General features: G+C 45.2%; 1 protein-coding gene and 1 long non-coding RNA gene across 2 annotated transcripts in view, besides 1 other annotated feature; both read right to left on the reverse strand.

Moving 5' to 3' along the window:
• IL12A-AS1 (IL12A antisense RNA 1) overlaps window positions 1–27,599 on the reverse strand; it is a 293,693-nt gene that overhangs the window by 118,208 nt on the left and 147,886 nt on the right. The window lies entirely within an intron of this gene.
• LOC124906252 (uncharacterized) lies at window positions 255–7,452 on the reverse strand. Its single transcript, XM_047449425.1, has 3 exons — window positions 7,303–7,452; window positions 6,719–6,922; window positions 255–850 (listed from the first exon to the last, which is right to left on the reverse strand). Exons 1-3 carry the CDS (start codon window positions 7,439–7,441, stop codon window positions 822–824), a joined length of 372 nt encoding a protein of 123 aa, XP_047305381.1. The 5' UTR covers window positions 7,442–7,452; the 3' UTR covers window positions 255–821.
• Window positions 7,566–8,168: an enhancer, noted in NCBI's record as "H3K27ac-H3K4me1 hESC enhancer chr3:159756960-159757562 (GRCh37/hg19 assembly coordinates)". NCBI's record gives its function as "activates a minimal SCP1, AML or CMV promoter by ChIP-STARR-seq in naive H9 embryonic stem cells {active_cell/tissue: H9 hESC(naive)}" and the evidence as "EXISTENCE:reporter gene assay evidence [ECO:0000049][PMID:30033119]".

A 27,599-nucleotide genomic window follows, 5' to 3' on the forward strand; every position in this document is an offset into this window, starting at 1 on the left:
AAGTTAAAATCCCAAACTCAGCCATGTGCAGTGGCTCATGCTTGCAATCCCAGCATTTTGGAAAGCTGAGGCAGGAGGATCGCTTGAGCCCAGGGGTTCAAGACCAGCCTGGGCAACACAGGGAGACCTCTGTCTATACAAAAATAAATAAGTATTGATTAGCCGGGCATAGTGGCACACACTTGTGGTCCCAGCCACTCGGGAACTTCAGCCCAGGAGCTCAAGGCTGCAGTGAGCCATGACCATGCCACTGCACTCCAGCCTGGGCAACAGAGTGAGAGCCTGTCTCTTAAGAGAAAAAAAGATAGATTCAAAATCTGATAACAGTAGGTTTGGGGATGGCCCCGAGGTCTTGGGCTTTTCTTTTCTCTCTCTCTTTTTTTTTTTTTTTTTTTTTTTTTTTTTGAGATGGAGTCTTGCTCTGTCGCCAGGCTGGAATGCGATGGTGCAATCTCAGCTCACTGCAACCTCTGCCTCCCAGCTTCAAGCGATTCTCCTGCCTCAGACTCCCGAGTAGCTGGGATTACAGGCACCTGCCACCACGCCCAATTTTTTTTTTTTTTTTTTGTATTTTTTAGTAGAGACGGGGTTTTGCCATGTTGGCCAGGCTCGTCTTGAACTCCTGACTTCAGGTGATCCACCCGTCTCGGTCTTCCAAAGTGCTGGGATTACAGGCCTGAGCCGCCGCGCCCAGCCAGGTCTTGGGCTTTTCATAGGCTCCCTGGGCATCTTTCAAGGTGTGGAAATTTGAAAGCCAGGAACAATCTGCCATACATCAGGAAGCCACTAGATGGCAGGAGCCATCCCTTGGAGCCCATTCTTCAGTCCAAAAAGTGGTCAGAGAGGAAACCTGTCAAGTGGGGAAGAATCCAAGCACACATGTTAAATGCACTTTAATAAATAGCTGGTGCAGATGAAAGGGCAGGAAGAGTTTATCTCATCTCTTGCCCCCCTCTAGTGTCCCCTCAAGTATTTGAAATGCTTCAAGGATCCTTAAATAAAACTGCAACCAGGGAGCTGTGCTACCCTGTAGCACGACCAGCTAAGGAAAAAACTAGCTCAATGATAGGGCTAGTATTTATATGGGGTCAATGGCTTTTACTGGCAGACATATATGGCCTTTTGTGCAATATAGGAGATAGGAAAAACCCAAACCAAAGCTTTTTTTTTTATTTTTTTTCTGCTCTCAATCAACACAGAATACTTCTGTGACCAAATGTGGGCAAGGTTTTCCCCAGACACCAAACAATCCGTTTTCCAGCAGGTTCTCCAGTGGACACTAGCTGGGTGTCCTCTAATTCAACTCAATTTTGACACTCCCTACCTAAAGACAGTGTTAGATCTCATAGGTTCAGGGGTTAGTCTCACAAAACTGTCCCCAACTTCAGATACCAGTTGCAGATCTGAGCCTCTAGAACTTCTGACCCACCAGCTACAAATTAAGGTTGCCACATGCCCCTCCCCAGGTTCAATTAATTTGTTAGAGCAGTTCACAAGAACTCAGGGAAACACATTTACCAATTTATTAACAAAGAATATAATAAGGGCTCACCTAACTAGCCTAAAAAAAAGAATATGATAAAGGATACAGATGAAGAGATCCATGGGGTGAAGTCAGCAAGGGTTCTGATCCTAGGAGCTTCTGTCCTCATGAAGTTGGGGTACACCACCCTCCCAGCATGTGGATGTGTTCACCAACCCAGGAGGTCTCCAAACCCAGTCCTTTTGAACTTTTTTTTTTTTTTTTTTACAGAGTCTTGCTCTGTCACCAGGCTGGAGTGCAGTGGCGCGATCTCGACTCACTGCAACCTCCACCTCCCGGGTTCAAGTGATTCTCCTGCCTCAGCCTCCCAAGTAGCTGGGACTACAGGCCTAGCTAATTTTTATATTTTTAGTAGAGACGGGGTTTTACCACACCACCATGCTCAGCTAATTTTTATATTTTTAGTAGAGACAGGGTTTTACCATGTTGGCCAGGATGGTCTCCATCTCTTGATCTCGTGATCCGCCCACTCAGGCCTCCCAAAGTGCTGGGATTACAGGCGTGAGCCACCACGCCTGGCCTCCTTTTGAATTTTTATGGAAGCTTCCATTTGTAGGCATGATTGATTATATCATTAGCCATTAACGATCAACTCAATTTTCAGCCCCCCTTCCCTCCTTGGAGGTTGGGGCCTGGGGCTGAATATCTTAACCCTGTAATCAGAACTTGATTTTTCCCACAAAAAGTTCCCACCCTGAGGCTATCTAGAGGCCCTCAGCCTCCAGTCACCTCATTAGCACAGAAGATTCCAAGGATTGAAGGAACCGTATGTCAGGAAAAGATGAGGAAGACCAAATACATATTTCACAATATCACACCTTCCAAGTGTATGACCCTGTACCTAAGAGATAACACATGTTAAAATCAGATACAAAACAGATAGTGCCATCCCGTGATTTTTCTGTAGAATGTGCTTTTCCTCCAAATGCCAGGAAATGGCATAACAGAGACTAAAATTCAGAGTGCTTGCTCTTCTTTTTAGTGGCTACTAACGTGGTGTCAATGTGTAGAGCTAATATTTAGATAAAGACAGGTAGGCAAGGGCACTATTTGAGACATATGAATTATTGTTGGTGTCTGATTTTGTTTTATTCCAACCTAATTAGTTCTGCCTTGTAAAATACTCTCATTACCTGAATTACCACTGTGAATATTATACTCTAACAATTTATTATTATAGAAATAGTACCCTTCAGTTTTTGAAATAGTTTAGAAAGCAGTGATACTGGGGGCACTTAAATATATTTTTAAAGTGGTTAGGCCGGGCGCTGTGGCTCATGCCAGTAATCCCAGCACTTTGGGAGGCCAAGGCAAGTGGATCACCTGACGTCAGGAGTTCAAGACCAGCCTGCCCAACATGGTCAAACGCCATCTCTACTAAAAATGCAAAAATTAGCTGGGTGTGGTGGTGCACGCCTGTAATCCCAGCTACTTGAGAGGCTGAGGCAAGAGAATCACTTGAACCTGGGAGGTGGAAGTTACAGTGAGCCATGATCATGCCACTGCACTCCAGCCTGGGTGACAGAGCGAGACTCTGTCTAAAAAAATATTAAATAAATAAATGTGGTTAATGTAACCAATCATGGTGTACTTTTTTAATTTATTATTATTATTTTTTTTTTTGAGACAGAGTCTCACTCTTGTCATCTAGGCTAGAGTGCACTGACATAATCGGCTCACTGCAACCTTCACCTCCCAGGTTTAAGCGATTCTTGTGCCTCAGCCTCCTGAGTAGCTAGGATTACAGGCACCTGCCACCACACCCAGCTAGTTTTTATATATTTTAGTAGAGATGGGGTTTCATCATGTGGCCAGGCTGATCTTGATCTCCTGACCTCAGGTGATCTGCCCATCTCAGCCTCCCAAAGTGCTGGGATTACAGGCATGAGCCATCACCCCCAGCCTACTTATTTATTTTTTGAGATAGAGTCTCGCTCTGTTAGCCAGGCTGGAGTGCAGTGGCGCGATCTTGGCTCACTGCAAACTCCGCCTCCCAGGTTCAAGTGATTCTCCTGCCTCAGCCTCCCAAGTAGCAGGGATTACAGGCATGCACCATCAGGCCTAGCTAATTTTCCTATTTTCAGTAGAGATGGAGTTTCGCCATGTTGATCAGGTTGGTCTCAAACTCCTGACCTCAGGTGATCTTTTTTAAGTATGAAGAATATATTTTCATTATACTTGTCTATAAGTGATTGAAGTGGTCAGAGGAGCTACTGAATTCCTCATTTACTTTTAGATGAAGCAAAGACTAACATCCTGCCCTCCCAGCCAAATAGATACTAAGTTGAATATTCTTTCTGGGAACCTGGAGAAAAAGTGGATAAAAATCACTACTTCCAGGCTGGGCGTAGTGGCTCACGCCTGTAATCCCAGCACTTTGGGAGGCCGAGGCGGGCAGATCATGAGGTCAGGAGATCAAGACCATCCTTGCTAACACGGTGAAACCCTGTCTCTACTAAAAATACAAAAAATTAGCTGGGCGTGGTGGCGGGTGCCTGTAGTCCCAGCTACTTGGGAGGCTGAGGCAGGAGAATGGCGTGAACCCAGGAGGCAGAGCTTGCAGTGAGCCAAGATCTTGCCACTGCACTCCAGGCTGGGCGACAGAGCAAGACTCCGTCTCAAAAAAAAAAAAAAATCACTACTGCCAATGTGGCACTGTAGATTAGCAATACTGATTATATCTGATGGAGGACAACAGATGTTATCATGTGCAAATTTAGGATGCTGAAGAAGTGACAAGAAAAGGATCAGAGCCTTGCCACAACATAGAATTTATGTAAGTGCTTGAATGATGTCATCTTTCTTGAAGTCCAAGATGTGCTGGAAGGTGAGCAGGAAATAAACTTAGTCATTTTATTTTGAATCAAGCTGTATCTTTGGGAATAACAAATGCATAGTACAGAATGTGTTGCTTGGTTATTTATAAGCTTGGGTTCAGAGAGTTAATGCAAATGCAAAAGCAAGCAAGGGGCTGCTGTCCTCTTAGTAAGGATGGTGTGTGCAGCTGAGTCAGAGGAAGGGTTGGAAGCCTAGCCCCAGTGCTGGCTAGCTTTGGGAGTGTAAGCAAAGTCTCAACCTAATTTGAAGGCTCTCTGTTCCCATCTGTGAAATGGGTACAAACCCCCCATGATCTGAGCTGTAGTGAAAGAAAGGAGGCCATGCACGTCAAGATCCAGGCAGGTGGTCAGGCTCAGTAAGGGAGAGGTCATGTCACTCTGGTACTTGAGACCGAGACCGGACTGGTAACATAAGCCTTCTGGGCCTTCCGGGGCCCTGAAGCATGGATCACGGGGACCACTGGTTGGCGCCACAGATGCTCAACCAGCAAAGAGGGGAAGGGAGAAAGCAGAGCCCAGGGAGGGCTGGAGGGGATCGTTCCTGGTGTTGATCCAGAAAACCACAGGGTTCCTTGTCTTGGTTTTCAACAACTTCTCTTTCTGTGTGTGTGTGGATGGATGTAGCACATTGTTATAACCAAGCTCAAAATAATGCAAAACTTTGATTATATATGTTGTTACCATGGTTAACAAATGTATTCTTCCATCTGAGAATCCTCAGTAGTACAGAGAGAGGTTTTGCATTTAGAATTCTATTTAGACTTTTTATTCCTTGAAGCATCAAAAGTACATAAACACCCCAAAAGGTTATATCAGAAGTCAAAGCATTATGATCTCTCTGGATGCTTTTCAGACATGGTGGGTGAGCGTTCTGAATCCCAACCCCGCCCCCAATGCCCCCCAGCCGCCACCCGGCCAGCTTTGCCTGGAGAGCTACTGAGATTTTCCACTATCTAGTCTTGGGATGCTGAAGCCTCAAGAGGTTAGGAATGAATGCAATTCTCACCCACCTGACAATGTTGGTATGCAAGCTTTGGTTGCTTTGGTTGGTATGAGACCACCTCATCCTACTGGAGAAGTTATTTTCTTGTCTTTCACCATGGAATCATTTACTTTTGTGGTGGGGGAGGAATGCTACTCAGAAAGAGATTTCAAAGAACGAAGGAAAAACTTCCTTATCTTCTTCTTCTTCTCCTTATTCTTCTTTTTTCTTTTAGTAGAGACAGGGTTTTGTCCTCCAGGTTGCAGCACAGTGGCAAGTTATGCTCACTGTACCCTGGAACTCCTGGGCTCAAGGAGTCCTCAAGCCTCCCAAGCAGCTAGGAGCACAAGTGCATGTCACTTCTTAAAGGAGACTTGCCACAGAGAATAATGGGCCACACTGGCTTTTGTTACTTGGTGAAATGATTTTGTTGGTCCATATAGATACTGCTACTCTACGGAGCAACAAAACCATTTCACCAATTAAATTAACCACCTAGCATCATGCATGTGGTGATTAACAACTTGGATATATTTTGCTTAAGCTATTTGAAGAATCCCTAAGTTATGGATAAAGGGAAGAAAAATAAACCTGCCTTTTGACACTGCTCATGTATCTTCTTTGTATCATTATTTACTTACAAGCCTTTTTTTTTTTTTTTTTGAGACAGTCTTGCTCTGTCTGAAGTACAGTGGTGTGATCTCGGCTCACTGCAACCTCTGCCTGCCGGGTTCAAGAGATTCTCCTGCCTCAACCTTCCTAGTAGCTAGGATTACAGGCGCCTGCCACCACGCCTGGCTAATTTTTGTATTTTTAGTAGAGATGGGGTTTCGCCATGTTGGCCAGGCTGGTCTCGAGCTCCTGACCTCAGGTGATCTGCCTGCCTTGGCCTCCCAAAATGTTGGGATTACAGGTGTGAACCACCGCGCCCAGCCACAAGTCGTATTTTAAAGCGTCCTATTCCTTAGTTATAATTCCCTTGACTTTTAACAACAGTTGGTTTTGACCCCAGCTCCCTGGTGCCTGGACCTCCAGATCCACCCTGGAGCCCACAGGTGGATTTACATCTAATATGTTACAATCCTGATGTAAATCCCCAGGAGGAAGCCTGGCGTTAGCCACCCTTACTCTGCACAGTGCTATCCTTGCTGTTGCTTTCATCTCTGGCAGGAGTTTCCTTTTCACAAGGGAGAAGGCTCTATGCATTTATAGCAGTGTTTTATTTTCCAGCAAGCTTAGAAATCTACAAGATGGTTCCGCTGCTTATAAATACTGCCGCAGAGAGGGGCTTGGACTAGTTCTAGAGTGCTGAATTTTTCCTTAGCCATGGAAGTCACTTGTGAAAGGAAATCTTACCTGGAACCTGCATTGGACAAGCATTCAAAAGTAGGGATGATCTGGTGGGGCCATTGATGGGAGAGGATTTTGAGGAGTTACTGAGGACCCCTGTGGGACCCCTGACCTGCTTCTGGCAGGGCAGCTTGGAAACCAGCAGATGAGGTGACTGCTTGCGTCTCTTGAAGCTGTGGTCCAGGAGTGTGTTTCTAAGACATTTGCAACCTAATGGGAAGTAAACCACTTTCCCATCAGCTGTGGTATGTTTTGTAGTAACCACATAATCCCAAACCAAAGATATTTAAATTATTTTACATCAAGAGGCTTGTGAATTTTGGATTTCCCTCATTACAAGCCATGTATAATTATTTTAAGCCAAACAAACGTGATGTTTAACTTTTTAACTTTTTTTTTTTTTTTTTTTTTTTTGTATTTTGGAATCATTTTCTTTTCAAAGACTAAGGACTTTCTTGTTTATTCCTAGATTAGAAACAGAGCCAGGGAAGAGGGGGTACTGAAAGGGCATAGCCTGTCCTGTTGGCGGGGCCGTGGGACCCGGCCGCCCTTTCTCCTCCGTGGCTCCCCAGCCAGGAGGCTGCGCTTACCTGCTCCGCACGACCTCTGCGGCTTGGGGGCTCTCAGCTCTGTCGCTGCGGGGCTCCAGGCTGGTGCTTGTGCTGAGAATGACTGCGGGAGGGGCTCGCGTGCCCAGCACTGCACCGCGAGGCGACCAACCGCTGACATGTGGGGCGATTGGGTGGACAGGAAGACTCGGCGAGCTTTTGTAGCCGCGGGTAGGGACAGCCTGGGCTCCCTGAACCAAGCGCGCGTGGGCGGCGACCCCGTCCCTGTGCACCGACCCGCCAGCGCGCAGCCTGGTGAGAGCACTTGTGCGCCTTGGGATCGCCTGGGCTGCTTCTTGGCGCTCTGCCTAGGGGGAACCTGCTTGGTGACAACAGGGCTGGAGCTTCTCTGAAGCCGAAGGGTGCTATGCTTTGAATGGGTGTCCCTCAAAACTCATGCGAAAATTCAATCCGTATTTGAGGTGTAGCCTTCAGGAGGTTAGTAGGTTTGAGGACTCAGCACTTGTGAATGTCTCAGTGTTCTTGTAAAAGAGCTTGAGGGAGGGAGTTTGGTCTCTTTTGTGCTTCTGCTCTTTGCCACCTGAGGAGGCTTCACCTTGAGCTTGGACTTCCCAGACTTCAGAGGCTGTGAGAAATAAATTCCTGGTTTTGTTGTTCTTGTTGTTTTGTTTTTTACAAATTACCCAGTCTTGGGTATTTTGTTATTACAGACAAAAAGACTGAGACAAAGGGCCAGCACCATTCTGGACAGGACAGAGAGCTCCTGTCACCCCAATTGGAGGTGGACACTCCTGCAGCTGGACTTTTCTCACTTGGGGACCACAAGGCCCACAGGCGTTCCCTGATTCACTTCTTGGGATCTGTAAATCCCCTGAAATACTATGCCAGGTTTTACATCTAAATGCAAGTGCCTGGAATGAGAGACAAAAGCTTTTATCCAATTCAACATCTGTGACACCCTCCACTGCCCACTCCCCACCTCCACCCCCACCCCCCCAACCCCCGCCAAGCTTGTAAAAATGATGGATTAAACCAATAGTACCCAAACTTGGCTGCACATTGATCACCTAGGGAGTTTTTAAAAGCTGGAAGCCCGAGTGGAAGCCCAGATCACTTAACTCAGTGGGATGGGACCCCAACCATTAGTGTTTTGAAAGATTCACAGGTGATTCCATTGCATAGGAAAGTGTGGGCACCACTGCCCTCACTGAACACTACATGCTTTTACATTTTTTCAGCTAGATTGTTTGCTTCTCTGCCTTTTTCATGAGGTGGTGGGTGTCACAGTATCTAGCCCAGCTCTGAGACACACTGCATATTTGCTGCATGAAGGAGGCAAAGGCAGATCACAGGATAGGTCATCTAACTTGCAGGCCCCTCGTTGCTGTGTCCAAAATTCTCCCTGGGCTGAAATACCACTGACTTCATGGAAATGGCTTCGTGTAATGTTTGAAGCTCAGGAGGAAAATGAGTCATTACTCCCTGATGGGACATCTGTCTTTTAGCCTCTCCAGAATGCACCTGCCTGTGTCACTGTGGCTCAGAGGTCTGGGATGGCATTTGGGTAAGCACCATTAGAGTCATAACCCCTGTGGTTCCAACACCGGTGAGTCCAGCACTGGGATGGATACCTTATATTCTGAAATAGATCTGGCCTGGCACTACCCTGGGCCATGTCCTCCTGTTGAACATGAACATAAACGATTTCCCACAACACCATTAGACAAGACTCCTCTGTGACCAGGATGGATCTAGACCAGAATAAGACCACTTCAACATCATATCTGAAAACAGACAAAGCATAAACATTGTTCAAGCCACAAAAGAAAACACACAAATATAGCAGTTGTCTTGGCTAATAGAACTGGCTGCTGCTTCATTGCCAGTTACAGCTTTTATTTTCTGACAGAGTCTCGTTCGGTCACCCAGGCTGGAGTGCAGTGGCACAATGACTTACTGCAACCTCAGCTTCCTGGGCTCAAGCAATCCTCCTACCCCAGCCTTCTGAGTAGCTGGGATCACAGCACATGCTACAACACCTAGCTAATTTTTAAAAAATTTTTTGTGGAGACAGAGTCTCGCTACATTGCCCAGGCTGGTCTCAAACTCCTGGGCTCAAGCAATTCTCCCGCCTCAGCCTGCCAAAGCACTGAGATTACAGGTATGGGCCACTACACTCAGCCCAATTACAGCTTCAGACTTGGTGTAGTCTGCTTTCCCTATGGGTAAGATTTATGAGGATACACATTCATAGAATTACCCCAGTTTCCTGACCCTATCCAACCCAGAGAAAAACTATGCTTTCTTCAACTTCTCCCAAAGCAGCAAACCAAAGCCCAAATCCTTTAATAACATTTTCTAACATCATCTCACTGAGACACCCCCAGGGTTTCCCATTGTTTGCATTTTCCCTCTTTGCAATGAGAATTAAACCCAACTTTCTTAACTATAGGTGTGTTCCTAGTGGTTTCTGGCTGGAGAGCATTGACAAATTATGTTATTTACACATCCCAATAACAGTGCAAGAAAAATATTACACCCCCTTCCCACATGAGCTAACTGAGGTTCTTTTAGATTACATAGCTCACACAGGGCTGCTGGGCTTTAAGTGAAGAGCTAGGGTTCATTTTCACATAGTTTTGTTGGAAGACAAGCTAGCATGTTGCTTACTTACATGAACTTTAGCTGCTAAGTGGAGTTCCAACCCAGCACTGCCCTTTTCTGGTTGTAGGAACTTGAGGAAGTCCTGTAACATTTCTCAACTTCCTTACCTAAAAAAAAAAGTGCTACCAAAATGCCAGGAGTTTGATCTAGGTACAATTGCTCACCGCACAGGAAGCCAATCACTGAGACAATGATTATTGCCAGGGAAGAAGGCTTAATCACATGCTGCAGCTGTGATCTGGCCAACTGAAATCAGGGGTTTATATAACAGGGAAGAAATGTAACTACATATAGGAAAATAGGAATTAGGGAGGGGTAAGGAAGAGGAGTTGGTCAAGAAGAAGCAGGTGATCAGTTAGGCAATCATGACAGGTGAGGGGTCTGGCTTCTTATTGTCCAGATGTGATGATCTGGTAAGTGTCAGTTCCTTGATACTGTTACCGCACTGGAGGGTCTTGACTGTGAGTCATCCAGGTTCTTGGCATTTTGAACGAAGAATTGAACGGATCACACATACAAAGCGACAAAAGAATGAAGCAACAAAAACACAGATTTATTGAAATGAAAGTACACTCCACAGAGTGGGAGCAGATTTGAGCAAGTGTCTCAAGAGGACCAGTTACAGAATTTTCTGGGGTTAAATACCCTCTAGAGGTTTCCCACTGGTTACTTGGTTACACCCTATGTAAATGAAGACTTGGCCCACAACCAGTCTAATTGGTAGAGGGAGGCAACCAATCAGAGGTACTTTCAATTTTTCATCTGCAATGCAGTGGAATGGGAGTGGGGAGGGGCGGAGTGTAAAGGGAGTAGCCTCTGATCTTTTTGTTACTTGGACATGGAGAGGTGGGGTTTTCCTTTTGATTCAGTTCTAGGAAGTCAGCCTGAATCGGCCTTACATCCCCTGTTTCCAGACCCTGTTCTCCTGCCTCATTACTATCTGGGAGGGCTGACAGTTGGAAACCCGAGAAAGGAACTCAGATAAGACAAATGTAACTTTCTAAAGTTTTAAGAGTGGGAGGATCAATTTCTATGTTTATTCAGAAGAAACCATAAACATCAGTTCTCTAGGACAAGTGAGCTGATTTCAAAAGGAAAGGGGATAACATTCCAATCTCAAGAATCTTAGTGTGGAAATAATAAAAACCCACAAAGCCTGTTGATCACAGAGCTATGCTCAGGCATCTGCCCCCTGTAGAAATGTAAAATGTGAGGTGGGAAAGGTAAGCAGTGGACCCACCAAGCAGTGCCCAGCCCATCTGCACTACTTCACTCCAGCTGAGTCTTGCTGATTTGTATTTGACTGGTGTGGTGGGTCATTGTAGATGTAAACCTGACTGGGTTAAGGGATACCCAGATAACTGGTGGCACATTATTTCTGGGTATGTCTGTGAAGGTATTTCCGGAAGAGATTGGCATTTGAATCAGTGAACTGAATAAGGAAGATCTGACCTCACCAATGTGGGCAGGCACCATCCAAAGGGCTGAGGGCCTGGATAGAACACAAAGGCAGAGGAAGAGAGAATTTGCTCTCTCTATTGCAGCGGGGACAACACCCTTCCTCTTCTGCCCTTGGACATCAGAACTCCAGGTTCTCAGGCCTTCATACTCAGACTGAGCCACACAACCAGCTTCCCTGGTTCTCTTGTGGACAGTATATTTTAGGTCTTCTCAGCCACCATAATTGAGGGAGCCAACCTCCATAATAAATCTCTGATAGACGTAGACTCATGCACTATATAATGACATTTTTGTCAACAATGGACTGCATATACAATGGTGGTCCCACAAGATTATAAAGGAGCTGAAAATCTCCTATCATCTAGTGATGTTGTAGGTGTCATAACATTGTAGCACAATGCATTACTCATGTGTCTGTGGTGATGCTGGTGTAAACAAACCTATTGCATGGCCAGTCATATAAAAGTCACATACAATTATGCACAGTGCATAATACTTGATAATAAATGACTATGTTACTGCCTTATGTATTTTCTGTGTGATATGGTTTGGATCTGTGTCCCCACTAAATCTCATGTCAAATTGTAATCCCCACTGCTGGAAAAGGGGCCTGGGGGGAGGTGATTGGATCATGGGGGTGGTTCCTTCATGAATGGCTTAGCACCATCTCTTTGGTGCTGGTCTCATGATAGAATCCTCATGAGATCTGGTCATTTAAAAGAGTGTAGCACCCCAGCCTGGCCAACATGGTGAAAACCCATCTCTACTAAAAATACAAAAATTAGCTGGGCGTGGTCGTGAGTGCCTGTAATCCCAGCTACTCAGGAGGCTGAGGTAGGAGAATCGTTTGAACCCAGGAGACAGAGGTTGTAGTGAGCTGAGATCGCACCATTGCACTCCAGCCTGGGCAACAGGGTGAGACTCCGTCTCAAAAAAAAAAAAAAAAAAAGTGTGTAGCACCTCCCCAGCCCATTCTTGCTACTCTAACCACGTGACGTGGCTTCTCCCCTTTCACCTTCCACCATGATTGCTAGTTCCCTAAGGTCTCCCCAGAAGTGGATGCCGCCATGCTTCCTGTATAGCCTGCAAAACTGTGAGCCAATTAAACCTCTTTTCTTTACAAATTATCCAGTCTTAGGTATTTCTTTATAGCAATTTCAGAATGAACTAATACACTGTGCTATACTTTTTCTTATTTTAGAGTGTACTTCTTCAAATTATAAAAAAAGAAGTTAACTGTAACTAGCCTCAGGCAGGCCCTTCAGGAGGTATTCAGAAGAAGGCATTGTTATTGTAGGAAATGACAGCTCCATGCGTGTCATTGTCCCTGGAGACCTTCCAGTGTGTCAAGATGTGGAGGAGGAAGACAGCAATATTGATGATCTTGACCCTGTGTAGACCTAGGCTAATGTGTGTGTTTGTGTCTTCATTTTTAACAAAAAAAAAAAAGTTTAAATGTAAAAAATTTAAAAAATAAAAAAGCTTATAGAATAAAGATATAAAAAAGAAAATATTTTTATACAACTACTTAACGTGTGTTTTAAACTAAGTGTTATTAGAAAAGTCAAAAGGTAAAAAAATTTGAACATTTATAAAGTACAGTTACAGTAAAGTAAGGTTAATTATTGCAGATTTAAAAAATTTTTAATAGGCTGGGTGCAGTGGCTCATGCCTGTAATCCCAGCACTTTGGGAGGCCAAGGCGGGTGGATCACCTGAGGTCAGGAGTTCGAGACCAGCCTGCCCAACGTGGCAAAGCCCTGTCTCTACTAAAAATACAAAAATTAGCCAAGTTTGGTGGCGCATGCCTGTAATCCCAGCTACTCAGGAGGCTGAGGCAGAAGAATTGCTTGAACCCAGGAGGTGGAGACTGCAGTGAGTGGAGATTGTGCCACTGCACTCCAGCGTGGGCGACAGAGCAAGACACTGTTTCAAAAAACAAAAATTAATTAATTTAGCGTAGCCTATGTACACAGTGTTTATAAAGTCTACAGTAGTGTACAGTAATGTCCTAGGCCTTCACATTCACTCACCACTCACTCGCTGACTCTCCCAGAGCAACCTCCAGTCCTGCAAGTTTCATTCATGGTAAGTGCTCTCTACAGGTGTACCATTTTTTATGTTTTAAGCCATTTTTTTACTCTATCTTCTCCAGGTTTGGATGTGTTTAAATACACAAATACTTACCATTGTATTACAGTTTCCTACAGTATTCAGCACAGTAACATGTCATACAGCTTTGTAGCCTTGAAGCAATAGGCTCTATCATATAGCCTAGGTGTATAGTAGGCTATACCATCTAGGTTTGTATAAGAACACTGTGATGTTTCCACAATAATAAAATCGCCTAAAGATGCATTCTCAAAATGTATGTTTGTTAAGCGATGTATGACTGTGTATCTATCTATCTATCTATCTATCTATCTATCTATCTATCTATCTATCTATCTGCCTGCCTGCCAGCCTGCCTATCTATCTATCTATCTATCTATCTATCTATCTATCTATCTACCCACCTATCTATCTATCTGCCTGCCTGCCTATCTATCTATCTATCTATCCATCCAGTGGGTTCTCTTTCTCTGGAGAAACCTAATATAGCTGGGTTATTTTGTCTTCCTGACCCCAGCAGAGGGCAGAGGTAAAGAGTGTGAGGCCCTGAGCTATTGAAAGCCTGAATGACAACAGCAGGAACCTGCCAGCTCAGTTGAGAACCAGAAACATACAGAAACAAGTGCAAATTAGACACCAACCTGTGTTACCTCAGCATTCAAAGCTGATATTTATGTTAAATTATGTCCATTGTTTTCTGAAATAAAATGTTTCCATTCAAAATGGTTAAAATTTTGGCTGTGTGTTGTGGCTCACGCCTGTAATCCCAGCACTTTGGGAGGCCAAGGTGGTTGGATCACTTGAGGTCAGGAGTTAGAGACCAGCCTGGCCAACATGAGGAAACCCTGTCTCTATGAAAAATACAAAAAAAATGGCCAGGCTTGGTGGCTCACGCCTGTAATCCCAACACTTTGGGAGGCCGAGGTGGGTGGATCACTTGAGGTCAGGAGTTCAAGACTAGCCTGGCCAACATGGTGAAACCCCATCTCTACAAAAAATACAAAAATTAGCTGGGCGTGGTAGCTCTTGCCTGTAATCCCAGCTACATGGGTGGCTGAGGCAGAAGAATCATTTGAACTCAGGAGGCAGAGGTTGCAGTGAGCCAAGGTCACACCACTGCACTCAAGCCTGGGCAATGGAGTGAGACTGTGTGCAAAAAAATAGATAAATAAAAATAATTCAAGTGATTCTCCTGCCTCAGCTTCCCAAGTAGCTGGGACTACAGGTGTAAGCCACCATGTCCAGCTAATTTTTGTATTTTTGGTAGAAATGTGGCTTAAAAATATATTTGTTTACTATTTTTCCCAACATGTTTGGTTAAACCCATAAAGGTATAAAATTATATAGGTGGTGTGTTTCCTTTAGCTGAGATCCAAGTAGGGGTAGTTCTTTTTGTTGTTGTTGTTGTTGTTGTTGTTGTTGTTGTTTTCAGATGAAATCTTGCTCTTGTCCCCCAGGCTGGAGTGCAATGGCACCATCTCAGCTCACTGCAACCTCCACCTTCTGGGTTCAAGCAATTCTCCTGCCTCAGCCTCCCGAGTAGCTGGGATTACAGGTGCCTGCCACCACACCTGGCTAATTTTTGTATTTTAAGTAGAAATGGGATTTCACCATGTTGGCGAGGCTGGTCTCAAACTCCTAACCTCAGGTGATCTGCCCGCCTTGGCCTCCCAAAGTGCTGGGATTACAGGCGTGAGCCACCATGCCTGGCCAAGTAGGGGTAGTTCTTGGGGATCCCTGTCAGCGAAGCCCATGCTTGAATTTTCTTTTCTTTTTTTTTTTTTTGAGATGGAGTTTCGATCTTATTGCCCAGGCTGGAGTGCAATGACACGATCTCAGCTTACTGCAACCTCCACCTCCCGGGTTCAAGTGATTCTCCTGCCTCAGCCTCCCAAGTAGCTGTGATTACAGGCATGCACCACCACGCCAGGCTAATTTTGTATTTTTAGTAAAGATAGGGTTTCACCATGTTGGTCAAGCTGGTCTCAAACTTTTGACCTCAAGTGATTCACCCGTCTCAGCCTCCCAAACTGCTGGGATTACAGGTGTGAGCCACCGCACCCAGCCCCATTGTTGAAATTTGATATGACAAAGTCTACTCAGTTTTCTCTCTACATCTGCTTTCTCTGTATCATAGACTCCTGTCTTCTGTTATCATGCCTGAAAAGGCAGGTGCAGCCAAGAAATCAACACTAAGAAGTTCTTTTTGGATGCTGATATTAGCTAATAGAAATCTTTATGGTGTATTTAAGCAAATCTTGGTTTTCTCCCTAAAGGCCATTTGGGATGCCAAGGCGGGCAGATCACTTGAAGTCAGGAGTTTGAGATCAGCCTGGCCAACATAGTGAAACCCCATCTCTACTAAAAATACAGAATTAGCTGGGCATGGTGCTGCATGCCTGTAGTCCCAGCTACTCAGGAGGCTGAGGCAGGAGAATTGCTTGAACCTGGGAGGTGGAGGTTGCAGTGAGCTGAGATTGCGCCACTGCACATCAGCCTGGGTGTAAGAGCAAGACAATGTCACACACACACAAAAAAAGAAAAAGAAAAAAAAAAGAAATGCAGAGCCTCATGCCCAACCAGACCTACTGAATCTGAGTCTACATTTCTTTACCTTTTTTTGGGGGGGGGGGGGGACAGAGTCTTGCTCTTGTTTTTAAACAATTAAAAAAAAATCCATTGGATAACTCACAGACTCTCCAGAGGCTAGAGAGCCAGATTTGGTGATGTTGCCATCAGGTACAACACCCACATCACTCCAGAGAGGGGACGAGCCCAGTGCCTGGGTTACCAGGCACCAGGCAAGAACAGACACCTGCACTGCTAACAGTGGGCAGCTGACTTCACAGCAGAGCCGCCAGAGAAGAGTCCCACGAAGAAGAGGAAGAGATCACATGAAGATGGAGGCAGAAATTGCAACTATGCAGTCACAAGGCAAGAAACAGTGGAACAATCAGAAGCTGGAAGAGACAAGGCAGAATTCTTCTTTACAGCCTGTGACGAACTCAGCCCTGCCGACACCTTGATTTTAGACTTCTAGGCTCCAGAATTGTGACAGAAGAAGTGAGTGTGGTTTCAGCCAACAAGTTGTTTTTTCTTTTTTTGTAATTTGGTCATTTGTTGTGACAGACACAGGAAACTAATACAGTTGGTGGGGGCAGGGGGTGGGCCTGGGCCTTTGTACTTTTTTTATTTTTTAGAGACAGGGTCTTACTGTCACCAAAGCTGGAGTGCAGTAGCATGATCACAGCTCACTACGGCCTTGACCTTCGGGGTTCAAGTGATCTTCCCACCTCAGACTCTAAAGCTGGAGGAGCTGAAACTACAGGCACACACCACCACACCCAGCTAATTACAAAAGTTTTTTTCAGAGATGGGGTTCTCACTGTGTTGTCCAGACTGGTCTCAAACTCCCAGGTTTAAGTGATTCTCCTGCCTCGGCCTCCCATAGTGTTGAATTACAGACTGAGCCATCATGCCTGGCCACATTTGTACCCTTTTTTTTTTTTTTTGTAAAGACAGAGTCTCACTCTGTCACCCAGGCTGAAGTGCAGTGGCACTATCTCAGCTCACTGCAACCTCTGCCTCCTGGGTTCAAGTGATTCTCCTGCCTCCGCCTCCTGAGTAGCTGGGATTACAGGTGCACGCCACGCCGCCTGGCTAATTTTTTCTATTTTTAGTAGAGATGGGGTTTCACCATGTTTCCCAGGCTGGTCTTGAACTCCTTACCTCAGGCAATCTGCCTGCCTCGGCCTCCCAAAGTGCTGGGATTACAGGTGTGAGCCACAGTTCCCGGCCCACATTTGTACCTTTTTAACAGCTTCCTAGGTGCTTCTAATATGCATCCAGGATTGGGGACCACTGGAATAGGGCATGTCAGAAGCATCTCCCTCTGGCAGTTTTCCTCAGCTTAGGGTCTAAATGCTTTTGCAATATCAAAATGTCTTCTTTTTAATTTTTAATTTTATCTTTTTTTAATACAGGGTATCGCTATGTTGCCCAAGCTAGACTGGATCTCCTGGCCTCAAATGACCCTCCTGTCTCAGCCTCCTGAGTAGCTGGGATTACAAGCACACACCAGTGTGCCTGGCTATCATAATGTTTTCTTAATTCTATTTTTATCATTTTTAGCAGAGTAAATATTTGATACACTATGAGAACAGCCAGGGTAAATAAACTTGATGGTAAGAAAATAAAAAGCTTTGTGAACCTGCATATAGGTATCTATATCTTAAGTAGTTTGTGTCTCTAAGGCTGTTTGGGCTATAACTGCGGTGTTGCTTCTGCTTCTCTGTTTAATTTATAAATTATCCTGCCGCTTTCCTCTCCTGCCTTCCCATCTCCTTCCAGCTGTCTATGTCAGGGGAGTTTATCCCAGGGCTCATTAGCACCTCCAGAAACACTGGGCTGAGGAAGGACAAAGAACAGTTCCTGTGGCTGCTTTGTCATCAGGGCTGATGAAGTGTTGAGTAGGAGAGGAGCAGAGGGCCGCAGTGAGGTTCTGATGTTTTGTCCTGTATCTGTGTCCCTGGACAGTGAGATGCTGTTTCTGAGGTCTACTTGCCTTTCAATCTAGCCCTGGGGGAGGAGATGCCAGAGAGTAATGAGGAGGCATCTGTATTACAGGTAAAGGGATTCTGTTCCTCTTCTATGGGAGTCTGGAGTAACTGAACTGACATTCTGAGAGTTTCCAGGTGGCTGGATGCAATCCAAGTCTGATAGTCTCTGAAGCCTGAGGCTTCTCTACCATACCCTGCTTCTTCAGACAAATAGATAGAAAGTACTCATCCACGTGACAACATGGATGACCCTGTCTCAAAAAAATAAAAAATAAAAAAATGTACAAAGGCCCAGGCCCCGCCCCCGCCCACCAACTGTATTAATTTCCTGTGTCTGTCACAACAAATGACCAAATCACACACACAAAAACAACAACAACAACAAAAAAAACTTGGCAGAAACCACACTCACTTCTTCTGTCGCAATTCTGGAGCCTAGAAGTCTAAAATCAAGGTGTCAGCAAGGCCGAGTTCCTCACAGGCTGTAAGGAAGAATTCTGCCTTGTCTCTTCCAGCTTCTGATTGTTCTGATGTTCCTTGCCTTGTGACTACATAGTTGCAATTCTGCCTCCATCTTCACATGACCTCTTCCTCTTCTTCATGGGACTCTTCTCTGGGTATCCCTTACAAGGACACGTGTAGTTGGATTTAGTGCTCACTGACTAAACCGTAATAATCTCATCTGAGGTCTTTAATTATATCTGCAAATATCCTTTTTCCAAACAAGTTAAATTCACAGCTTATAGGATATGAACATACCTTTATGGGAATGACCACTTAACCCACTACATATAACCAAGTAAATCAGAGTGTTTAGGGTGAAACCTGGGCATTTGCTTTTACATATATATATATACAGGGTCTCCCTCTGTTGTCCAGGCTGGAATGCAAACACAGCTCACTGCAGCCTTGACCTCCTGGGTTCAAGTGATCCTCCTGCCTCAGCCTGCCAAAATGCTGGGATTACAGGTATAAGCCACCACGCCCCACCAGCATTCTTTTTTTTTTTTTTTTTTTTTTTGACACAGAGTCTCGCTCTGTCGCCCAGGCTGGAGTGCAGTGGCACGATCTCGGCTTACTGCAACCTTCGCCCCCGGGATTCAAGCAATTCTCCTGCCTCAGCCTCCCAAGTAGCTGGGATTACAGGCGCATGCCACCACGCCCAGCTAATTTTTATATTTTCAGTAGAGACAGGGTTTCACCATATTGGTCAGGCTGGCCTTGAACTCCTGACCTCGTGATCCACCCGCCTCGGCCTCCCAAAGTGCTGAGATTACAGGCGTGAGCCACCACGCCCGCCCAGAGCAGGATTTGTATTTTTTAAAGGTCCTTGGGTGATTCCAAGGTTCAGCCAAGGTTGAGAATCATTGATCCACTTGAATTGCCATGTTGTGCCCAGCAGAGGTCCTGGGTACAAACAGACAGGAAGCCCAAAAGAGAGACCAAAGGATGTTTCTGGCCCCCAAACACATGAAAAACTGAGAGAGATCAAGTGGACTGCTTGATCTGTCTTTGAGGGCTATGCTTCAAAAGTGGAAATCCCCATGGAATAATGTAAGGAATGCCCAGTAGGATGGGAGAAGCTTCTAGGGTTTTTGTTTGTTTCTTTGTGGTTTTTGAGGGGTGAAGGTCTCCTCCCACCTAGGCTGAGGTGCAGTGGCATGATCATGGCTCACTGCAGCCTCAAACACCCGGGCTCAAGCAATCCTCCCACCTTAGCCTCCTGAGTAGTTCAGACTGGAGGAGCGTGCCACCACACCCAGCTAGGTATCTTTTAAGAACTGGGGGTCTCATGATGTTGCCCAAGCTGGTGTCAAGCTCGTGGGCTCAATAGATCCTCCCACCTCAGCCTCCCAAAGTGCTGGGATTACAGGCATGAGCAGCTTCTAGTTTTTAAGGTTTAGAATCTGTTCATAGGAAAGAGTGTTGCTAAAGCTTAAAGAGAAGGTCTTGAAGTCAGATAAACCTGGTTTCAAATACCACCTCTTGTCATTTTCTTGCTGTGTGACCTCGAGCAAGCTACATAACCTCTCCACATTTTAGTTGCCTTGTCTCTCAAAACAGGGACAAGACAGCAGCTGCCCTGATGTCTGTTACTGAAGATGTAGTTATCAATGGGATTGAGAAATGACGACCCCAACTCCCAAGGTGTTGACTCTTCAGATACATAAATAAATGGAAAACAATGAGAAAGAAAGTAAAGTGTAAATCCTTCAGCGATTTTTTTTTTTTTTGAGACAAAGTCTCGCTGTGTCACCCAGGCTAGAGTGCAGTGGTGCAATCCTGGCTCACTGCAACCTCCACCTCCCAGGTTCAAGCGTTCTCCTGCCTCAGCCTCCTGAGTAGCTGGGACTACAGGCATGCACCACCACACTGGGCTAATTTTTTTTGTATTTTTAGTAGAGACGAGATTTCCCCATGTTGTCCAGGCTGGTCTCAAACTCCTGACCTCAAATGATCCACCCACCTTGGTTGGCCTCCTAACGTGCTGGGATTAAATGCGTGAGCCACCGCGCCTGGCCTCCTTCAGTGATTTTTATCTGTAATAGCTAAAATGAAAGTAAAGGAGAGTGCTGGGGCAGATTCTGGTGCTGTGCCATGCTTGGACTTCAGCTGGTCAGAGCTATGGTTATTAGTCTCAGGACCACTCTCTAATAGAAAAATGGTGCCTGAACAACAGATAACACTGTTGCAAAGTCAAGATGGCAAGCCTGTGCAAACCCAAGAAACTACTAAAGCAGAGGATAAAATGTGAAGGAATGTCTCATTTATTGATCGACATCTGCAGCTTCCTGAGGAAGTTTTACCAAAATGGATTGTGAGACTGGCTGAGGAGCAGCCTTCTAGACTTTGAATGCTGCGGACTAGAAGAGCATGTCTGGATTGCTGCAGGACCCACAGCTTATTATGGAACGATAAAAGATGCCTGTGTATGATCCCAACACATGACAGGTTGTCTCTGAGGGGTCAGCCAGCCTGCTGGAATGGAGAAATGCCGCTGTAGTTTGTTTACCCTGAGAAGGTAAATCAACATTTCCCTCCTTTACATGCTAAGTGGCCTCCCAAAATGAGGCAGCTGATTTGCCACATATCCAATCCCGGCTGTACTGGCTTTATAATGATCAGGTTGTTCATCCCCCTCATATGTCCCTTAACCAGGTCACAGCACCTAGATAGTGATGCAGATGAATGCCCAAATTGGAGCTCAGCCCAGAAAAGTTCTTGGCTTCACACAGAAAAGAATTCCTGAGCAAACTGACAGAGTAAAGTGAAAGCAAAGCAAGTTTATTAGAACAAGAGAGTACAAGAAAATGGCTGTTCCGCAGACAGCACAGGCTTCCCCATAGGCAGAGAAGTAGTCGGGTATTGCTGGGGAGCTGTGTTTATAGCTACTCCTTCATCATAAGCTAAATAAGGGGCAGGTTATTCACGAATTTTCTACAAAAGAGGTTGGGAGTTCCTGAGACTGAAGTTCCTCCCCTTTTAGATCACGTACAGTAACTTCCCAGGGCATCGCCATGATATTTGTAAACTGTCACTTGCTGGTGGGAGTGTCTTTTAGCATGCAAATGCATTACAGTTAGCGTGTAATGAGCAGTGAAGGCAACTAGAGGTTGCTTTTGTTGCCATCTTGGTTTTAGGTGGTGTTGGCCAGTTTCTTTACTGCATCCTTTTTGACCAGATCCTGTTTCAATCAGCTGGGTTGTGACCAGTGTTCAGAAAACAAGTCCTGCTGATCTCCTGCCTCAGTGTGATTACGCGAGCTCCTTTTGCACACGAATCCCATGGAAACTTACTGCTGCAAAATCAAGCGCAGTTCAAGACATCATACCAGATTTGTTATCTCAGCTTCCCCTCATGGGTCTTACAGATGCCAAGAAAATGATGCCCAGTCACAAAAGGAATGGGCAAAGTCAAAGGAAATAGTCAAGGGACTTATCCCAGCAGGGTGGAAATTTTCAAATATTAACAACTGGGATGGGCCAGGCACGGTGGCTCACGCCTGTAATCCCAGCACTTTGGGAGGCTGAGGCGGGTGGATCACTTGAGGTCAGGAGTTCAAGACCAGCCTGGCCAACATGGTGAAACCCTGTCTCTACTAAAAATGCAAAAATTAGCTGGGTGTGGTGGCGCGTGCCTGTAGTCCTAGCTATTCAGGAGGCTGAAGCAGGAGAATCACTTGAACCCAGGAGGTGGAGGTTGCAGTGAGCCGAGATCTCACCATTGCACTCCAGCCTGGTGACAGAGCAGGACTCTATCCCCCCAAAAAAAAAAAAAACTGGGATGAAAAAGCTGAATATTGATGATTCAAAAGAAATATCTTATTGCAGCACTATGGAAGGTTCAGTGGACTCACAGGTGCCCCTGCTGGTGTTCCAACATTGAAGGGCTCTAAACAGATCTACCCTATTTACCTGAGTTTGCAGGAATTTGAAAAGACTGAACACAAAGATGAAAATGAGAAATCCAGCTGGGTGCGGTGGCTCACGCCTGTAATCCCAGCACTCTGGGAGGCTGGGGTGGCTGGATCACGAGGTCAGGAGTTCAAGACCAGCCTGGCCAAGATGGTGAAACCCTGTCTCTACTAAAAATACAAAAATTAGCTGGGTGCAGTGGCAGGCACCTGTAATCCCAGCTAGTCAGGAGGCTGAGGCAGGAGAATTGCTTGAAACCGGTCGGCAGAGGTTGCAGTGAGCCGAGATCACACCACTGCACTCCAGCCTGGGCGATAGAGTGAGACTCCGTCTAAAAAAAAAAAGAGAGAGAGAAATCTGACCTCAAATCATGGGGCTAGTGATCAGACACATTAATCAGAACAAAGACTGATGCAGGGGTCAGGGTCCCTCGGCCTGATCCTCAACAGCAGACCCGGGGCTTGTGCATATGTGTGAGGATAGTGGACATGGGGTAGAGAAAAACTTCTGAGAGTCCTTCCCACAGGATCCCAATGCATTATGTTATCAAAACCTATCGGTGAAGTCCTAATTGGGTGATAGTTTTCTAGGGAGCATCTGGGGATATAAAGACTGATGAGATGAAGGTGAAAGTTTGGATGAAAATTGGAACGTTAGGACGGACTTCATGTGAAGTGCTTGTGTCTCCTCTACCTAAGTGTATTATTAGGTGGAATCACATCTGACTGGGAGCACTTCCCATTCCTAGTATTATAAAATCAAAGGTATGTAAGTTTGCCCTTCTGCAATCATTAACTGGGCATACTAAATGGGAACCTATAGAATTGCCTGAGCCCACATAGCTTGTTAATTTGACACAGTGTCGGATGAATCCTAGTAGACAAAAAGAGAATACCACTTTAATTGCTGACATGTTAGAAGTTGGAATGCTGGTACTAATAAATTTTCTGTACAAATGTCCTGTGTGGCCCATGAAAAGGGAAGTGGCTCATCAAGACTACAGTAGATTTTCCAGACTTGAATAAAGTAGTCCTGGCCGGGTGCAGTGGCTCACAGTTGCAATTCCAGCACTTTGGGAGGCCAAGGCGGGTGGATCACCTGAGGTCAGGAGTTCAAGACCAGCCTGGCCAACATGGTGAAACCCTGCCGCTACTAAAAATACAAAATTAGCTGGGCATGGTGGATTGTGCCTGTAGTCCCAGCTACTCAGGAGGCTGAGGCAGTAGAATCGTTTGAACCCGGGAGGCAGAAATTGCAGTGAGCCGAGATTGCACCAACTGCACTCCAGCCTGGGCAACAGAGCAAAACTCCATTTCAAAAACAAACAAAAAAAAATAAGCTGGGCATGGTGGTGCATGTCAGTAGTCCCAGCTACTCTATGGAGGCTGGGGGCAGGAGCTTCACTTGAACCTGACAGGCAGAGCTTGCGGTGAGCTGAGATCACACCATTGCACTATAGCCTGGGCGACAGATTGAGATTCTGTCTCAAAAAAATAAAAAATAAATAAATAAAAATAAAGTAGTCCTGCCTACAGCACTAGCAGTTCCTGATATGGTTTCAATAGTGCAAAAAATACAATGTCTTGCAAAAGTTTTTTCTGTATCACAATCTTAGAAAAGAGTCAAACACGATTTGCCTTTATGTGGGAAGGATTCCAGCCTACTACATTGTATTGCCATATGGTTATTTGAATTCACCAGTTTACTGCTGTGTCAATACGCTACATCGCTAATGCTACAATCACATCACAAACTGAAAAACAAGCCAGGATTGACTTTAGTGCAGTAGTGACAGTCATGACTAACACAGGCTAGTTGACCAATCCAGCAAAGATCCCAGAGTCCATATCAACAATGAAATTCTCAGGAATAACCTGGGCAGGAGCTATCACATCCCACAGGCAGCTAAAATAGACTGCTTTTGTTACCTACCACTGGAACTCAGTGAGAAGCACAGTGTCGGGTGGGTTGTTTGGATTTGGAAGACATGTTCTGCATCTGGAAAGAGTGCGAGCTCCTATCCATTAAGACTGTCTGAAGGAAGCCTATAGTTGAATGGGAGCCATCATAATAGCACTCTATGACTGAATTTCAAGAAGTGATGTCTAGATATATATTAGGCCCTTATGGTCCACTCTGATATGACTTTGGAAGTTTAAGTTTAGTCAGCACTCTTTTTTTTTTTTTTTTTTTTTGAGACAGTTTCGCTTTTGTTGTCCAGGCTGGAGTGCAATGGTGCGGTCTTGGCTCACTGCAACCTCTGTCTCCTGGGTTCCAGTGATTCTGCTGCCTCAGCCTCCCAAGTAGCTGGGATTGCGGGCGCCCACCATCATGCCCGGCTAATTTTTGTATTTTTAGTGGAGATGGGGTTTCACCATCTTGGCCAGGCTGGTCTTGAACTCCTGACCTCAGGTGATCCACCTGCCTGGGCGTCCCAAAGTGCTGGGATTACAGGCGTGAGCCACCTCACCTGGCCTCATTCAGCACTCTTATCTGCAGGCTTCATATCTGGAAACTGAAGGAACCTCAGGTCTAAATATTTGCTGCTGCATGTGATAGCTCACACCTGTAATCCCAGCACTTTAGGAGGCCAAGTCGGGTGGATTACTTAAGCCCAGGAGTTCAAGACCAGCCTGGGAAACATAATGAGACCCTGTTTCAAAAAGAAACAAGATTCAAAAAGAAACAAGATTCAAAAATAAGCATGGTGTGGTGGTGTGCATCTGTAGCCCCAGCTACTTAGGAGGCTGAGGTGGGAGGATTACTTGAACCTGAGAGATGGAGGCTACAGTGAGTCATGATCATGCCACTGCACTCCAGCCTGAGCAACAGAGCAAGACCCTGTCTTAATACATAAATATATATATATATACACACACACACACACACACACACACACACATATATATACACACATGAAATATTTGGAAAATGTTTTAAAAACAACAATAAAAAAATACAAATTTTAAAATAATAGAACAACTATTTCCATAGCATTTTCTCTGTGTTAGTTATTGTTAAGTAATCCAGTGATTTTTTAAAGTATAGGGAAGGATGTACATGGGTTATATGCAAATGCTATGTCATTTTAAAAAGATACTTCAGTCCCTTGTGATTTTAGCATCCTCTTAGGGAGGGGTCCTGGAACTAATTCCCCACAGATACCCAGGGACACCTGTATCTGAAATTGCATTTCCACAGACTAGATTCTATGGTAAAAGCCCATGAGTGCTGCCTAATGGTGAGCACTTGAATTTTGGACCAGAAAATTTCCAGATGGGACAATACGGTATGTCTCATTTCAGAGACAATTATTGGGTTGCTATTTTGGGGGGCATTAATTGAAACTGCTCCTATGACTGAAGCAGTCTATGACTGAAGAATAAAATATTCTTAAGATCTGAAATACCCACGATGTCTTGGGTGATGTCAGAGAAACACTAATGAGGAAGTTACTGCCCAGAAGAGCTGACTCTGTAATAAAATGGAAATGGTTTATACAGGAACATGATACTGGAGGAATGCAAAGAGGTTTGCATCATATTCACAAGCAGGTAGGCTCATTACCTCTAGGACCAACTTTGGAACCATCTGAGGAGCTACCAGATCCTATTGACATGTGGCTGATGATGCCTCATGAACACCTCTCCACTGACCAACAAAAATCTCCTTGGTTTACATTAACACTTCTAAAGTAGATGGTCAGCATCCTGTTTGGAAAGCTCGCCAATGTAACCAACTGATGGTAAAACGAATTGAAGAGGTTGAAAACAAGTAAAGCTCAGTGAGCTGAACTGCATGCTATTTTCCTTGCAGTGATGGAAGACTTCAACACTTACAGCCCTGAAGTCTAGGTGCATTCCAACTCATGGGCATTGGCCAATAGCTGGCCATGTGGTCAGGAAGAGGAACAATGGAAAACTGGATTGTTAAAGGGGCGTCCGTATGGAACATGGCCTTATGGAAATCATATGGGAATTTAAGGGATGCATTAAATAGGATATGTTAATGCCCATCAGAAAAACCTTTTTCCCAGACTGGAAAGTGATTGGAACCCCAAGTGGATATCATGGTACACCCGAGGTGGCCAACTGGGCCCATGAAATGAGTGGACATTGGGGAGCAGCCGCCATGCAGAGAGGGGTGATCACAGACACATATTCTTCTGCACCCTCAGAAGCATAAAATGCCAACAAGAGCTGTCCTGTCTGCCAGCAGGAAAGACAGAGACTGCGGATGATTATAGGGCAGGTTTCCTGCAGGGAAAGTCCCTGATGCAGAGCTTAGAGATAAGCTATATGATGCCATTCAGTGCTGGTCACCTTGGAAGACTATAAAATGGTCCTGACACGAATAGACACTTGCTCCCAATTGCACTTTCCATACCCAGTAATAGACGCACAATGCTTAAAACACCATAAAAGGAATGGAACAAAAATAGTGTACCATGTAGAACCACTGGCTTACATTTTTTTAAACCAAGCAACGCACTTCACAGCCCGTAGTGTCCAACAGTGGGAAAAGATATCACACAAAAGGGACACCAAATGGGACAGTGAGCTGGCATGGTGGGGAGTGAGTAGGGTTGTGAGTGGGGTTGGTGGGGAGTGGGAAGGGGATTGAGCAGTACGGAGGTTCTACTTAAAATGCTGGACCTCACTAGTGTGCTTCAGGGATTCTTTTTGCTAAGATGCCTTCTAAAAGAACTTGAAACTTTTCATGCATCCTGTGGTAGATGTATTCTGTTTTTGTTTTTGTTTTTTGAGACAGAGTTTCGGTTTTGCCACCCAGGCTAGAGTGCAATGGCGCAATTTCAACTCACTGCAATCTCCACCTCCCAGGTTCAAGCGATTCTCCCACCTCAGCATCCCAAGTAGCTAGGATTACAGGTGCGCACCACCACACCCAGCAAATTTTTGTATTTTTAGTAGAGATTGGGTTTCACCATGTTGGCCAGATTGGTCTCAAACTCCTGACCTCAGGTAATCCACCCACCTTGGCCTCCCAAAGTGCTGGGATTACAGGCATGAGCCACCACGCCCGGCTGATAGATGTATTTTGGTTTATAATAGTATATGGGCCTGTGAGCAGATTCCTGACTGTGTGAA

The sequence above is a fragment of the Homo sapiens genome, chromosome 3 (assembly GCF_000001405.40).
Source record: "Homo sapiens chromosome 3, GRCh38.p14 Primary Assembly".
In the NCBI taxonomy this organism is placed as follows: Eukaryota; Metazoa; Chordata; class Mammalia; order Primates; family Hominidae; genus Homo; species Homo sapiens.

Bases quoted from the DNA above. Each gene is read 5' to 3' on its own strand.
- LOC124906252 (XM_047449425.1), bottom strand. From the start codon at position 7,441: ATGTCAGCGGTTGGTCGCCTCGCGGTGCAGTGCTGGGCACGCGAGCCC. The intron at 6,923-7,302 runs GTAAGCGCAGCC...ACTTCCCATTAG, and splicing joins GCAGAGGTCGTGCGGAGCAG to GTTGCAAATGTCTTAGAAAC. The intron at 851-6,718 runs GTAAGATTTCCT...CCCACTTGACAG, and splicing joins TTGTCCAATGCAGGTTCCAG to GTTTCCTCTCTGACCACTTT.